The sequence below is a fragment of the Homo sapiens genome, chromosome 8, assembly GCF_000001405.40.
Source record: "Homo sapiens chromosome 8, GRCh38.p14 Primary Assembly".
NCBI classification, from domain to species: Eukaryota; Metazoa; Chordata; class Mammalia; order Primates; family Hominidae; genus Homo; species Homo sapiens.
This window is the reverse complement of record NC_000008.11, coordinates 107,422,489-107,438,112: the sequence shown is the minus strand read 5'-3', so window position 1 is coordinate 107,438,112 and position 15,624 is coordinate 107,422,489. Positions and strand designations below refer to the sequence as shown.

At 38.4% G+C, this 15,624-nt stretch overlaps 1 protein-coding gene across 3 annotated transcripts in view, besides 2 other annotated features; it reads left to right on the top strand.

The window, feature by feature from the left end:
• The window catches only part of ANGPT1 (angiopoietin 1), a 248,437-nt gene that overhangs the window by 59,806 nt on the left and 173,007 nt on the right, over positions 1–15,624 (top strand). The window lies entirely within an intron of this gene.
• Positions 8,277–8,776: an enhancer, noted in NCBI's record as "OCT4-NANOG-H3K27ac hESC enhancer chr8:108441565-108442064 (GRCh37/hg19 assembly coordinates)". NCBI's record gives its function as "activates a minimal SCP1, AML or CMV promoter by ChIP-STARR-seq in naive H9 embryonic stem cells {active_cell/tissue: H9 hESC(naive)}" and the evidence as "EXISTENCE:reporter gene assay evidence [ECO:0000049][PMID:30033119]".
• Positions 8,777–9,278: an enhancer, noted in NCBI's record as "OCT4-NANOG-H3K27ac hESC enhancer chr8:108441063-108441564 (GRCh37/hg19 assembly coordinates)". NCBI's record gives its function as "activates a minimal SCP1, AML or CMV promoter by ChIP-STARR-seq in naive H9 embryonic stem cells {active_cell/tissue: H9 hESC(naive)}" and the evidence as "EXISTENCE:reporter gene assay evidence [ECO:0000049][PMID:30033119]".

Here is a 15,624-nt window from a genome sequence, read left to right as displayed (position 1 = left end):
TCCTAGACTTGGGTAACATTGTGGAGGGTTAAGGTGTTTGGCACCTATCGGATGCTTAGAATAACAAGGTTCAGTATGGACTTTGAGGCATGAGATTTTCTCCACGCCAGAGTGTGCTAGTCACGCAGGTCCAGCAGGGTCACAGCGCACTGGAGGGCAGCATCCTCCAGAGTGCCCTACACAGGTTCTGCTGTTCAGGTAAATACAATAATTCAGTCTCCAATACAACCAGTCCTTTGCATTTTAGAAACACTGAATTTCACTAAAGTTTTTTTTTTCTTTTTCTTTTTCTTATTTTTTTAGTCCAAGATGAAAAGATATCTGTCTGTCCTCTTCATGCCACTCTAGCTTATCTGCTGTCATCTATGATTCCTGATGAGTTGTCACTTCTGTGGCTTGTCAACTGAAAGTGCTCACAAAGACAAAGTCTGCAATAATGTTTTTAGCATGTTTAATAGAGCCTGGTTAAGTAAACATCCTCAACAAAAGCAGCAAAAGAAAGGTTAAAATAAACAGAGCTACTGTGCCAAGTTCATAATGACTTACACATTTAGCACTCTGCCCATCTTCTAAGCATGGCCATTAAAATCAGGTTTGTGTACTTAATATAATTGCCTTGAAACCATAGCTATTCAAATACTATAGGCCATTTACATACTTCAGCTCTCTTTGTCTTCCTTCTCTTTTCTCCTCCAGCTTTATAAAACCTGGAAATTGTTTCACAAAACTTAATTTCAAGGTAGTTAGTGATACCTTTCTCTATAACAGGCTAGACCTACGGATTTTTGTCAGAAAATTACTGATTCTTGTAGAGTCAAGGAGAAACGAACACTTTTTCACATTCTTCAAATCAGGTACTCTTTGGGAGAGTATGAGAAGTTTCATATCTCAAATTAGAAAAGTAGCACAGTTTCTTAACAGGCCAGTTAAAATGACAACCAAAAATATGTATTTATTTAAGCAATATGTAATATTAGAAAAATATATGCACTTCGGAGAAAGTCCTGGAAATGTAACCTCACCTCACTGTCCCTCAGTTTCTGACCCAACCAGCAGTTCCTGGTGTGAAATGTAACTATATTGGTAGATGACTTTAATAATTAGAGATACTAATAATAAAATTAAGTAGCTGACATGTTTGTGTTCAATAAATGTTATCTCAACTGTTTAAATATACTAGCATATAATTTTCCATTTTATATTTCTTGTAATTTTTCATAGTTATACAAATAAGTTGTTGATTTTCAAATATTTCTCCCATATGTATCCAGGAATTTATATTCTTATGTAAACTTCAGTGGTTTGTTCTTGTCCCAGTACGAGCACTTTAAGCTAAGACATTCCATTGAAGAAATGGATGATTGACATAAAATGAGCACAGAATCTGAGGGGCTGTCCTCACGGGTCAGTGTTGGGTTCTATTTTGTTTAACAACATCATTAGTGAGCTGAAAAGAGGAAGTAAGTAGCATGAGAAGTACATCTGCAGACGATAAATGAAGATGAACTTCAAATTCCCAGGAGGAGAGAGTATAAATAGATCCGCAGAAGGTTGCTGAAATTGGTAGCAAAGAAGAGAAAGAAATGCAGATCTAAATTACAACGTTCCATATAAGCACAAGAGGGCTTGAATAACGTGAGACCCAGAAAGAGGAAAGAACTAAGCTAACAAATAGACAGTACAGTTTGCCAAGGGCACCAAAGCCCAAAAGAACATAATATTCTGGAGGATGAATGCAATGTAAATTTCCCATTTCTTCCTGTAGCAATGAAATTGAAGAGTGTATAGTCTAGCATAGTGTTGACATGAAGTCTTAGGATTGAGGCCCAGTGTGAATACTGTGTGGCCTTGAAGAAAGGACTTACCTTTTCTGATTCACATGCTCTGCTTCTAAAAATGAGAGTATTGGCCAGGCACTGTGGCTCATGCCTCTAACCCCAGCACTTTGGGAGGCCAAGGCAGGGGGATTGCTAGTGCTCAGGAGTTGGAGACCAGCCTGGGCAACATAGAGAGACCCCATCTCTACAAAAAAAAGTTTTAAAATTAGACAAGCATGGTAGTGCACTCCTGTGGTCCCAGCTTCTCGGGAGGCTGAGGTGAGAGGATGGCTTGGGCCCAGGAGGTTGAGACTGCAGTAAGCTGTGATTAGGCCACTGCACTCTAGCCTGGGTGGCACAATGGGACCCTGTCTAATCAACCAATCAATCAATCAGTAAAATTGTATTGTATTATATACCTCATAGGGTTATTTTGAAGGTGCAATGGGTCTGGCACTAGATTGTAAATTCTATAACATCAGAAATTACAGTATGCTTACAATTGTATCTCCAGTGCCTATCGTCATCCCCGGCACATGGTGGGCAATGAATAAAAGGTTTTGAAAGAATGCTGAATCATAGGGCTCTTCTGAAGGCTGTGTAGTAAATATGAGAAACAATCTTGAGCTTTTATTTGTTTACTTCCTTACTACCTGCCTCCCTTCTTAGCATGTCAGCTCTGTAGGAGTAAGAAAATTACCTTCTTGTTCCCTTGCCAGATCCCTGTGCCCAGAACCTTGACATTTAGATGTGGTTTCTCAGCCAACACATGACACTCCCCGGAAGTTTGTTAAAATGGTAAAATTATGGGCCTAGCACCAGACCTACTGAATTAGAATCTGCATTTACTATCCTCTGTTAATTCTTGTACACATTACATTTTGAGAAGCATTTGTCTAGAAAACACCTGTCCGTAGTAACGTCTCTATAAGCTGTTATTAGATAAATGACTGCAAGATTTACTGTCTCATTTAGCAGATTTAAAGTCCTTCACACATGCACACTAATAATGTTCTTTAACAGCTTTTGGGGGGTATGATTTACCTACCATAAAATTCACTCATTTTAAATGTACAGTCCGATGACTTTTAGTTAATTTACAGACAAGTGCAGTTTGCACCACAATCAAATTTCTGAACATTTCTGTCACTCTAAAGGATCCCTTGTGCTCATTTACAGTCCTTTCTCCTTCCCAGCTCCAACTACTATGAAAATATTATTTTAATATCCACCCCCATCATGAGGGAAACGGTGTATATTAAAATAATATTATTATGGTGATTACATAGAAAATCTAATTTAGTGATTAGAGAATCACTAAAGGGCAAACAAGTATTCCTCTTTCATTCACACTTCACTAAATAAAAGTGATTTTTGAATGAATTTGACTGCAGTTTAAATAGTCATTAACTATTTCTAAATGGATTTGCTCAACAGCTAAGAGTTTAAACATGATTCAGTGGGGACATTTACCACTTTCAGGGAAAAACCATTTCAAATAATTATTTTCTAAACTTATTGGGTATACATTTACAAGCAAACATTATCAGTATATCAAAAATAGAAGCCATGAGACAGTCTTTTCCTTTAATCCACTAATTACAAATCATTGCCATGTAATCAGGGTTAGAGCTAGGCCAGCCTATATACTTTAACTTAGTTAATTTGCTATTGAAGTTTAGTATTTTTTTCTTTTTTTTTAAAGTTTGTCTTAGCTGAGACTGCCTTTCTTAGGGCAAAGTCTCTTTAATCGTTCATCTCCTCTACTGAATTCAGGTCCTTGAGCTTATTCCCCTGGACTTTCTGAATAGGTCAATACACGATTTCGTTGACCCCATCACTCTGGCATTATCCCCGACAGTTCTGCCTCCCAACCCCAAGCGAAGTATTTCAAATCCCCCACTTAAAAACCTTCCATGATTTCAAGTTGTCCACGCAATGATGTCCAAAATCCCTAGCATGCATTGAGTCCAGACTCCTTTTCCTGTTTCATTCCTGCCACTCCCACTTTCCCGCCCGGCCTATTACACATGCTACACTTCCCACTGTTCTCAAGACTTGCCAAGCATATCACACATCTGTATCATTACTAAAACTGTTCCCTCCCTGTGGGAATGTTATTACCTTTTCTCTCTACTTAGATATTAAAATCTTATTTGGACCACAGTTCAATGCTTCTATTGATAACAGCTCAAATACTTCTCCAATAGTCACCCCTTTCCTCAATCAAATTTGCCTCTTTTTCAGTTTTGACTCACTGAGTATGATATTTTGAAACTCAAACTTAGTATAGGAAAGGAAAGATAAGGACTATGATATAGTGAATTATATGTTCCTATCACCTTTCACAGTATTTGGAATAGTAGGAGCTTGATGAATTTATAAATTTGTGTGTGGGTGAGGGAATCTATAACATCCTGCCTTTGAAAATTGTTGCACTTGTAATGGCACAGACATCTGGATGAGATGTACACTTCCAGTTCTCCAGTTCATGCTCATCTACCCTCTCTTTGTGTGTGTATGTATCTTTTTTACACAGATATCTATTGAAACTTTTAAACCTTCAGTTAGAGACAAGAAAAAGCATGAACAGAATGAAATGTTTGAAGGATTGGTCCTAGAAGCCTGGCTTATGATAGATGCTAATATCCTGTTTCATCCTTTTAAAATTATGGACCATAATAGCTGAAATAAATTGAAAGATGATATTTCAATCCAGTAATTTTCTAGATGAGGAAAATGCTGCCCAGTGTCTTTATTTGTATTATTTGCTTGTCCATCTTTCATGTCAGGGACAATCTTTTTGCTTTTAATACTTTACTCAATGTCTCTTTATTAATAACCTGATTGAATAGTATGTCTGGACATGTCCTTTCTCTGCACAGGATCTTGAAAGCCACAGAACTATTTCATAAGGCAACCATGGTTTCCTAGGGGAAAAACACTTACCTATCCAATCACTTGCAATAGAATATTCCTTCCCTGATATGTATCTGCTACTTGGTAGCAGTAATGAAAAAGAATAATCTGACACCAAAGGTCTGAAGTTAACTTCTAGCTGGTCTTCTCTACCCCCAGGTATCAATTCTATATTTTGGGACTCATTAGCACAAAATGAAAAAAACAACCAGCCCAATTTCCCCTATACCCACACCAAATGGGCAATGATCTCAACTACTATTTAAGAAAGTTAAATGCTTAAAAAGTCTTTTACAAAAAAAAGAGGGGAAAAAGAGAATTATTTCACATGAATGTGAAATATGAATGTTTATTAATTTGAGGTTTTTTTTAAGTCAAGACATCATTGCTTTTATAAAAACTCTCTTTGTAAGAACAAATTATAAATTGCAAACTGGAATGAATGCCTACAGAAATAAATGTCCAAATAAAAAGAACGATTAAACCAGAAGATTCTGCAAAGAACTCAGATAGTGAGACAGGACAATTCTCTGACATTGTCAAGATGACCTTGAATATTTATTTGAATGAACCAGAGTATAATATACATATCCTTTGAAATAAATCCTTGTTATTAACAGTACTTATCAGATATCTAATACATTAAGCATTTATTTGAAATCTGAAAGGTGAGTTAAACACCTGTTCATTGAGGACTTTTTTTTTTTTTTTTTGAGATGGAGTCTCGCTCTGTTGCCCAGGCTGGAGTGCAGTGGCTCGATCTCGGCTCACTGCAAGCTCTGCCTCCCGGGTTCACGCCATTCTCCTGCCTCAGCCTCCCGAGTAGCTGGGACTACAGTCACCCGCCACCATGCGTGGCTAATTTTTTGTATTTTTAGCAGAGACAGGGTTTCACTACGTTAGCCAGGATGGTCTCGATCTCCTGACCTCGTGATCTGCCTGCCTTGGCCTCCCAAAGTGCTGGGATTACAGGCGTGAGCCACCGTGCCCAGCCTCACTGAGGAATTAAAAGCAGATATCTTTTTATTTCCTAAGAAAGCTATATCTCAGAAAATTCTCTGGAAAGTAAATCCTATTGTCTTACCTGACTCTTATAACATCGTTATAGAAAAGGAATAATCCCAAAATAATTTATTTGGGATAAGGAATATTTATATTTTAGTCTATAATGTCTTTGGGGGAAAGTGAAGTATTCTCTTTTTAAAAGATTTTACGGTTCAGTTTTTTTTTTTTATAATTGCATGATCTTGTAAATTTTTATTTTAATCCCTCAAATATCAATTCTTTTGTCACACAGTAAAAAAGTTTAATTTTATGATGGTATTAATTGTGTTATTAGAGAGGTACCAATAATTTTTTCTTATGCCAACATCTATGCTCAATTGAGTTGCCAGAGTTTGCTGAAATATGTATCAAATACAAATACTCTAATGGATTAAAATATTGAGGCTGGTAATATTCATTTTAAGATGTAAGTTTGTTATAAGGTATTTGTATGTATTTCTGGAGGGATATATGCTTAATGTAACTTAAACCACTGGGTCATCTGCAAAGACTTGGTTTATGAAGCAATCTAGTCTTTGAATTTCTTGAACTGTTTCCTCAGTGCCTAGCATGATACTTTGATGATAAAAAAAAAAAAGACAGAGTAGTTTCCCTGAAAATCTGGTAGGAAGGTAGATACAAGCATTAAGGAGATTCTTATGACAGTATGTTGGGAGAACTGGAATTCAAAACTAGGAGCTTGAGAAGGCAGGAAAGACGTCACAGAGATTGCAGATCTTGCTAAGGAAGAAAGAGGTTGATAGTAAGATGAAGACATTCCTGGAAGAGGGCATGTGGCCTGTGCAAGGCTCCGGGACCTGGCAGGACATGTAATGTGAAGAGAACTCAGGCAGTCTAAGAGAGCCAGAGTAAAGATGAAGTCACTTTAGCTTAAGTGTGTTGTGTTCTGGATCTGTCCTCAGTTACTAAACCTATTGGAAAAGTGAACACTTAGAAAATTCCTCCTCTGCTCTGTGACAACCTAGGTGTGTGTCATTTGTAATGGGCAACACGACAAGTGACTTCCAACCAAAATCTGTGTTTTTGCAAGGTGATTTATTAGACACAGTCAATTTTTTTTATGCTTACATTTTCTAATTATAAACCAAAATCACTGACCAATATACTATATACAATGTAATGTGCTAAACACACACACACTGTCTCTCTCTCACACACACATGCACTACCTTATTTAATTATCAGAGGCAAAATAGCCTGTTCTATAAGAACTATTGTTATCTCCATTTTACCAAGGGGAGAGTGAGGTTTTGAGAGGTTAAATGACACCAAGTTCAGATAGCAATTAGTACAGAGCTGAGCTTTGAATCCAGGAAGTTTAACTTAGAAACTCAAGAATTTTCACCTTTCAAATAATTGCTGCCTTTTCTAAGAATATGTGATACCAAGAGGTTCATCAGAGAACTCAAGGAGAATAGTTAATCTTAGTGCACCAAATAATAACAGACTGTATTGCTGTTTCATATTGCTGCTGTAACACATTGTCTCAAATGTAGTCAACCAAGGTGTAGGCAAAGTTGGTTCCTTTTGGAGGCCCTAAAGGGAGAATAGATTTCTTTGTCTTTTTCGGCTTCTAGAGGTCACCTATAAACCCTGACCCGCTGACCACTACTTCCCTGCATCAGTATAACCTCTTGCTTCCACCATCACATCTTTTACTACTCCTGCTTTTCTCTTATAAAGGACTTTATGATTCCATTGGGCTTACCTGGATGATTTAATCTCATTTGCAATTTCCTTTTACCATGTAAGGTAACATAGTCACAAGTTCCAAGGTTTAGAAGGGGGACATTATTTAGCCTACCACACGGATGCAATCTAGAAAAATATTTGTTTAAATTGTAGGTGAGAAAGAGTGAATAGGTATGAACTCTGCCCTCAAGGAGCTCAAAGTATAGTTGGGAGTCAGCCATGTGAACCAAAAGTGATAGTAAAATGTGACAAGGTGCTGCAGGCTGCATTGTGAGTACTTAGCCCGAGGATGGTACAGAAAGAACCACGCAAACATTCTCTCATATTTAAAACATCAGTAAAGACCATTTGTCCCAAACTAATTTTTCATTAATAGTAAACTCCATTTTCATTTAGAATTATATTCAGAATTCTTGTGAAATTCCAAGAACATTAAACATTACCTTAGGAGTTAAAATGCTTTCAAGGACTTTTTTTCTGTATACTAATTAGTTAAAAATTCTAATAAAAAACACACACACAAACAAAAAAAGCACACATTCTTTCAGTACGTTTCAGAAGTAAGATTCTAACCAAAAAGTTGATTCATATGTATGTTATTACTTAACCTGTGACTTTAAAAATGAAAAATCACCCACATGACAAATGGATTTTTTTCTCTCAGAAATGAAATGTTACCCATTTATTGACCCAACTATGTGATTCTTTTTGTTACCTTTTTATTGCTTTTACTTTTATGTTAATCACAATAAACCATCATTCTGTCAGAGTGTCCTAAAACAAAAGATTTGTGGAAGCCTGCATTTCAAAAATAATATTAGTCTACAGAAAACTCCTTGACTCTATTAAAAACAGTGACGATCCTTTGACCACACTCCAGGAATTTCTCTCTCACCAAGACAAAAGCAATCCAAAAACTAACTAGTTGCTGGGAACCCAGCAGAGTCGACTTTTTTTTTTTTTTTTTTTTTCCTCCTGGAGCTCAGCAATAGGCTTTTATTCTTTCTTTGAGCTCCTATTGGCTCTGGAGAAAAAAGACAAATAATTAACCCTGAAGTAAGAAGCATTTCACTGCAGACTCTTCCTGCTGGGTTAACAAACATCTCTCAGAAAGCAAGCTCCTTGGGAGTGTCCCGCTCAGTGTCATTATTGATTAGTGACACCCATTCTTTTAGTAAAGCCTTTGGAAACTTCGGCTTCAAGGGGGTTTGATCATTAAGGATGAAGTTTTCAGTTGCTTTTTGTCCAAATTTGTTAACTGAACTGTTAAGTGGTGAGATGGTGATTGGAGAGCCTCCCCGGGAAGTCCGGGTTTCACTCGCCTGCAGTAACCGGTCTCATCTTATGAGTGCCTCACTGTGTTCCTTCATGCTTTAAATGACTCAACCCCTATTTCTCTCAAGGCCCTGTAAGAGGCAAAGAATCATGTCACAGCTTGACATTGTGACATATAAGCACCTATTAATTTGAGCAATTGGTACTTAGTTATCCTTAAATAACTTGGTTATCCATTCCCTTAAGCGTCTTAAATATAACTATTGATTGTCGCTTGTTTGTTTGTTTTTGCTTTTAAATCACTCTCAGACCATGTAACATGGCCCGATGCATATGATTTAGAATAGCATAACCCTCTTGTCCAAAAGAATTGTTCCTAGTGTATTTGGAAATAAACTCAAATTTTCAAAATGGATGAAAGGCAATATTGAATGAATCACTTTTCTTTCATTTTACCTGAGGGTTTAAGAGAAGACAATAATAGGATGAATGCTTTTTATAATACCTTTGGGTGGATTGGGAATTTTGCCAATTTGGTTAGAGAATGAGCCAAGAGGTCAAAATAACAAATGGGATTCCCATAAAGGTGAATTAGCTACTGATGCTGTGGCTATCAACGTGTCCTTGCTTAAAAAAGCACTGGCAGGTATCTGTGATTGTTCTTGTTTAGTTATAGCACTCGAAAACACACACACACACACACACACACACAAAATGAAAAAACTACCAGCACTACTACAATAATAAGACCAAGAAAAACCTAAATTAGAAAGCAAGAGATCATCAAAAAACAGTGTGTGGGATGACCAAATGAAGGAGCTGAAGACAGACCCTTAGGAAAACCTACATTTTCTCAGACACACTTGAAAATAGCATCATTCTGTTTGTTTCTGTTTGGATGGGTCTTTTAGGATAGGATATTGCACTTTGCAAAGTCTATTGTTGCATTAAAAAGTCTCATGGGGGTCAGTCTTGTCTCCCATAGGGTAGACTCTGGAGCTTGTAGCTCTTTTGTAATCTCTCAAGTTGCCCAGCATGAGCTAGACACATGGGAGACATTATACCCACACGAACTGAATTCATGTATACTGAGATGTGGGTAATAGATGGAAACATAAAAGGTGAATGTCATCTGGGAAGGAAAGCTATATACCACATTTCATTATTTGTAGCTTGCGAAGAAACATTCTTTCTCCTTAAACATCAATTCCAGTTGCTTTGTGGTTGGTAATAAGTGGAGAAAGGTCACATGAAAGGCCATATGGAAATTACAGTGCTGCCTTGTTCCTGAAAATTTTCCTACTGGATAAGCTGCCTTTCAAAATATGGCTTCTTCAATTTGTAACGCAGGGATCCCTTTGCCTTGATCTACTCACCAGGTGGACGCCTTCAGGGAGCCTAGCCTTCCCAAAGTCCTGTAATGCCTTGCTTAGTCTAAGGACTGTCTTCCCAATTTCAGCATTCTGTTTTAGGAGCTGTGTCTTCCCCAGAAATGACACTAGAAATAATAACTCCCGTTTCTCCTCCTCCTCCTATTGAGAGAAGATCAAATTTGAAGATCAATATGCACAGGAACTTGGTCTTACCCAGGTCTTACCTGGGGACTATACTGAGAGACAGTCTAAAACAATCCACCATTCATACAGAGCTTCAAACCTAGAGGAGGAAGAAAGAGACCTTCCCTTCATGATTATAATTATTGTGGAAGATCTTACTTGGACAAAGGGAGGGGAGAATCAAACAGAAATGTTATGGACAAGGGGAGCAAGAAAAGTAAACAACACTGGACATTGACCTGAAAGACAAGCCCATGTGTGTCTCACTCTGTCCTGAAGAGACAAGAGCATCTTCAGGAGAGCGTCTGCAAGTACAGGGAGGAAGAGGGACCTCAACAGATAGCTGGTACAGGGCAGGACAGATGAGGTTCAGGAAACAGCATCTGCTTCACAAAACAGACAAGAGCTGGCTCTGATGCATGTCTTGAGTTGGCATTACAGCTTGACAGGGCAGGATGTCTGATAGGGTAGTGACACTTAGCAATGAGACAGTGCAGGAACGTTGAAACAAAATTCAGCCCTGGCCCCTAGGCAGCCCCTAACCCCCATTCCTCCAGAACACACACAAATATGTCTTTAGCTTTAAGAGTATTATTAACTAATGCAAGCTGGTCCTGAGTACAGTTAACAGGACTCACCAAGCCCACTATATCCCAGGCTAAGTGATGTTTTAAAATCAGAATCAGGAAAAGGGAGTGCATGGGGAACAGAGTGTGGACCCATATTCTTTTTCTATGTTAGAATTCTTGTGTAAATTCTGTGAAAAGTTGAATCAATTTGCTTTGATGCTAACTTTTTAATACATACACATATATTTAAATATATGGAGGGTCATTTCCCTCTAGTTAAAAAAAATCCTCTGGTTTTCCACACAACTCCATCCAGCACCACACTGGTGAACTTTTGGTGACATAGGTCCTATATTGAAAAAGAGTAGTGTTTGTTATTCCTCTCAAGCTTCTTAGTGTCTTAAGGATCTTGCTGTAAAACATCATTTGTTATTGTTGTGCTCCATTATCCTCTTCCCTTTTTGAGTGCTATGTTTATTTTAAGGAAAAGGACAAAATAGTGGGATTTGGTGGAGAATCTTCTATCCCAAGAATAGAAGGCGTATGCTCTACATACAAATTCTGGAAGCAGGGCTTTGAAGTATCCTCCCTCCTAGAAGATCAAAGTCCAGGAAAGTGAATACAAGGAGGAAGAAGAGTAGAGGGGGGAAGGAAAAACACAAAATTAACCAGCATATTCTAGGATTATATGGAGAGAGGTTCTTCAATTTGCCACTCTGCAATCATCTTTTTTTCTCATGTGTCTTCATGTTTAAATAGATAAACTTTCCTCAAACATGCGATTATTTCTTGACACTGTAACTTAGTGCAAATAATTCACTCAACCTTGGATCACCCGCCCACTTTCTGTTTTAGAATGCTGATTAATCATCCAGAGAGTGCTCACCCCTCTGAGAAACCTTTCCTGGTACTGGGGTTGCCCTTTCTCTCTTTATTCTCCCACTGTACTTTAGACATCTGTGCTGCTGGAGGCAGATTTATCTGGCAGTGAGTGAAGCCTGACCTTCAGGATCCCTCACGCGCACAGGCCCCTTTGTGTCCAAGGAGTTGCTGGTTGTTGTAGAATTCTCTGTGGGAGGGGAAGCCAGTTTGCAACTGGGAAGCAATTCTGTGTAAGCATGTTTGTAAAGCACCAGAGACATGAGTCCCCAGAAGTCCAGTAACTTTTATTTTTCCTTTTCCTTCAAAATAAATAAGCACTTTTATACCTGGTGGTGCATTTGTAATTTTGTTTTCATTTTCCAAGAGGATTACCAAATGGTATAAGCCTGGGGCCCCACAAAACCTGGAGCTGTTCCCGATGCTTGCTTTGGTGAGCACTTTCTGTTGAGAGCTGGAGAAACTCAACTCAAGCTTGTTGAAAAGGATACCAAGATTGCTTCTGGGATCAGTGATGGAAACCAGCTCTTGGGGTTGGACAAGAGCTTGGAAACCATTTCATATTTTCTTTTGCTTTGGCTTTCTTATGCAAGTTGTGGGAAAGTAACTGTCTTCAGCCTCTGCTTCACATCTTTCCAGATCCAAAAGAGAAGAAACTTCGGTTGGGATAACCCCAGGATCGGCCTCTCACAAGCACACCTTGAGACTGATGTGTCAAGGGATTTAGTTTCTATGACTGGGAGCCAACAGAGTAACATGGAAAGGATAATGGGGATAAAGGATGTAGAGGAGCAGTGTGATGTTATCTAGAAAAGCAAGATAAGCATGCCGGGAAGATAGCCACTAAATTACCTCTATTTTGAATTGAATTTGTTTTCATACATGTGGGGCTCTTCCATAAAGCTATGGGTTTTATTAAAGGAATAACCTTTCTAAATTTCTCTCATTATCCTTAGTGCCTTCTCTACTGTCTTGCCCAGGGTTGTCTGTATTAAGTAATAAGTCAGCGAATAAACAGAAAAAAATCAAGATAGTAACCTCCCATAGTAGCGTATGGTCACCATATTGCTGAGCCTGAATTCCATACTAGAAATCAGATACCAAACAATATTCCTTCAATGTGATTTTTCCAATGCATAGAAAGGAATGCTTTAAGAATAGTCTTTCTGGCTGGGTGCAGCGGCTCATGCCTGTAATCCCAGCACTTTGGGAGGCTGAGGTGGGTGGATCACAAGGTCAGTAGTTTGAGACCAGCCTGGCCAAGATGGTGAAACCCTGTCTCTACTAAAAATACAAAAATTAGCTGGGCGTGGTGACACGTGCCTGTAGTCTCAGCTACCCAGGAGGCTGAGGCAGGAGAATCACTTGAACCCGGGAGGCGAAGGTTGCAGTGAGTCGAGATGATGCCACTGCACTCCAGCCTGGGCGACAAGAGAGAAACTCTGTCTTGAAAAATATTTTTTTAAAAAAAGAATAGTTTTTCTAATCTGTTTGAGATATTGTGTTTTAATGTATAACAAATATATGAATTATTATGGCTTAATTTTGTAAAATTCCTCATAGGATTCTGAGAAATATTATGATTCCAAATAAAATAATTAATCCCGTAGCAGTCATCATAACATTCATGCATAACCAAGAATGTACATAGAATATTATTTTACTGGGTGGCTGTGAATGGCTGCCCAATGTTTTCCAGTTGTGGTTTGCATTGAATCCTCCCAATGGATGTGTTATGCTTAGGTCCTGTGTGGTCTCAGGAGGGGAATAACATGGCCATCACATTCAATTTTTTTTTCTTTGAAATTGACCAAAGAAGGTTTATATCAGCTAATCTGATTACTAAAGAAACATCCTGTTAGTTACCCTTCTCGGAACAGTGGAGTTATCAATTTTGCATTCGTGTTACAGTTGAGGATCCCTGAGTACAGTGTCTTCTTAGTTCAAAATTAGATGTGTTTGAAGATCACCAACCAAAATTTGATGAACTCCTGAAATTATTTTATCACCAGAGTCAAGTTTAACCATTTTATTTTTTTCTGACTCTTAAATGGATTTGAATTTCCAATTGTCTGCTTGGCCTCCAAAATGACTTGATTCAGATTTAGCATTTTGAAGCCAACTAAGATTGTACATAGCCATTATTTGGTTGTGTTGTCCAATGCAGAATTTTTTTTTTTAACTTAATAAGAGGAAAAGGGGTCAGGCACAGTGGCTCACTCCTGTAATTCCAGCACTTTGAGAAGCTGAGGTGGGCGGATCACTTGAGGCCAGGAGTTTGAGACCAGTCTAGCCAACATGGTGAAACCCTGTCTCTACTAAAAATACAAAAATTAGCCCGATGTGGTGGTGCACACCTGTAATCCTAGCTACTCGGGAGGCTGAGGCAGGAGAATTGCTTGAACCCAGGAGGCAAAGATTTCAGTGAGCCAACATTGTGCCACTGCACTCCAGCCTGGGTGACAGAGCAAGACTCTGTCTCAGAAAAAAAAAAAAAAAAAAAAAAAAAAAAAGAAAGGAAAAGGAAAAGGTACCTGAAATCATTTCCTCTAACTCTAACAACTAACAACTAGATTAGAACTAAGGTACAGTGAAAGAATGATTACAGATATGTTATTAGAAACTCACACCCTTTTCGAGTACTGTGTGCTAGGTAATGTTACATGTATGTCTTAGGTCAAATTCCCTGGGAAACAGACTCTGAGACAGAGAGAGATTTGTGCAGACAGTTTTAGTGGCAGGGAGTGAGGAGGAGTCGGGGGGTGTTCTCAGAGGGAGGAAAGCAGGACTAGGCAAAGGGAAATGTTAAACTATGATGCAGTTCCAACAGACCACTTAGCTAATCCCACAAGACGCTGCGGAGCTGGAATGGCCTTTCGGGGGCCCAGGTCTTTGTATCTCCACATCCATCCAGCTGTCTGATGTGGAAGGGGCATAATCCTGAGCAAGTCAACTCCCCTTAGCTAAGGGCAATCTGCAGAGAAGGTACAGCTATAAGTCCTCAGCAGTCAGCACTCCCTGCACCTGGTGCAACCATGCGGGCACACTTCAGTATTCATTATTGACGCTTTATCTCATTTAGTCAGTATTGTGCTAGTAAATGTTTAATAACTGGATCTAAGTAGGGGGGAAGAGAAAGTAGGCTTGATTTATAGTCTGTCAGTTTTCATGGTGTAAATACTCCTACCATGGCCAAATTCAGGTTACCAGCTTGATTTTAGTGAATGCAGAGTTGTGAAGAGATGTGCACATACAGCTCTTAAAGGTATGAGCGGACTCCAGCACATCAGCACTTTAATCTTCATTAAGCCATTGGTAAAAATAATATTAATCCCTTTTGTGAAATGGGAGATCATACAAGAAGTACATTGCTCAATTCTTCTTTATATACAACCTGAAATCACCAGGTAACTGCAAATTTCTCTGCGAAAATGTTTACTATAGAGTTTTTCACGTATCATTTAGACCTGCTTGCACAAATTCAGTTTTCTTCCAATATGTATATTTGAGTAAAACCATTATTATTATTATTTTTAGGTAACATCTAAACACTAATTTGGGCAGTTAATGGACCGATTTGTTTGGGTTAAGTAAAAAGTTTAAATGAGACTGAATGCTAAGGAAACTCTAGATGTAAAATTAGTTCAGGCCTTTTTGTGTTGTTGGTGTGATAATTAGAGGTGTCTGAATGTTTGAGACTAAAAGCAAATTTACAAATGTGGGCGATTATGTTAAAAACTTTGATGAGATGCAACTGGAAGACACTCTGGAGCCACGAACCAAGATTTCCAAAGCCTGACCAAGGAAACAAGATTAGTATCAGTTGTGCTCTGAATTTAGCCATGGTAAGTA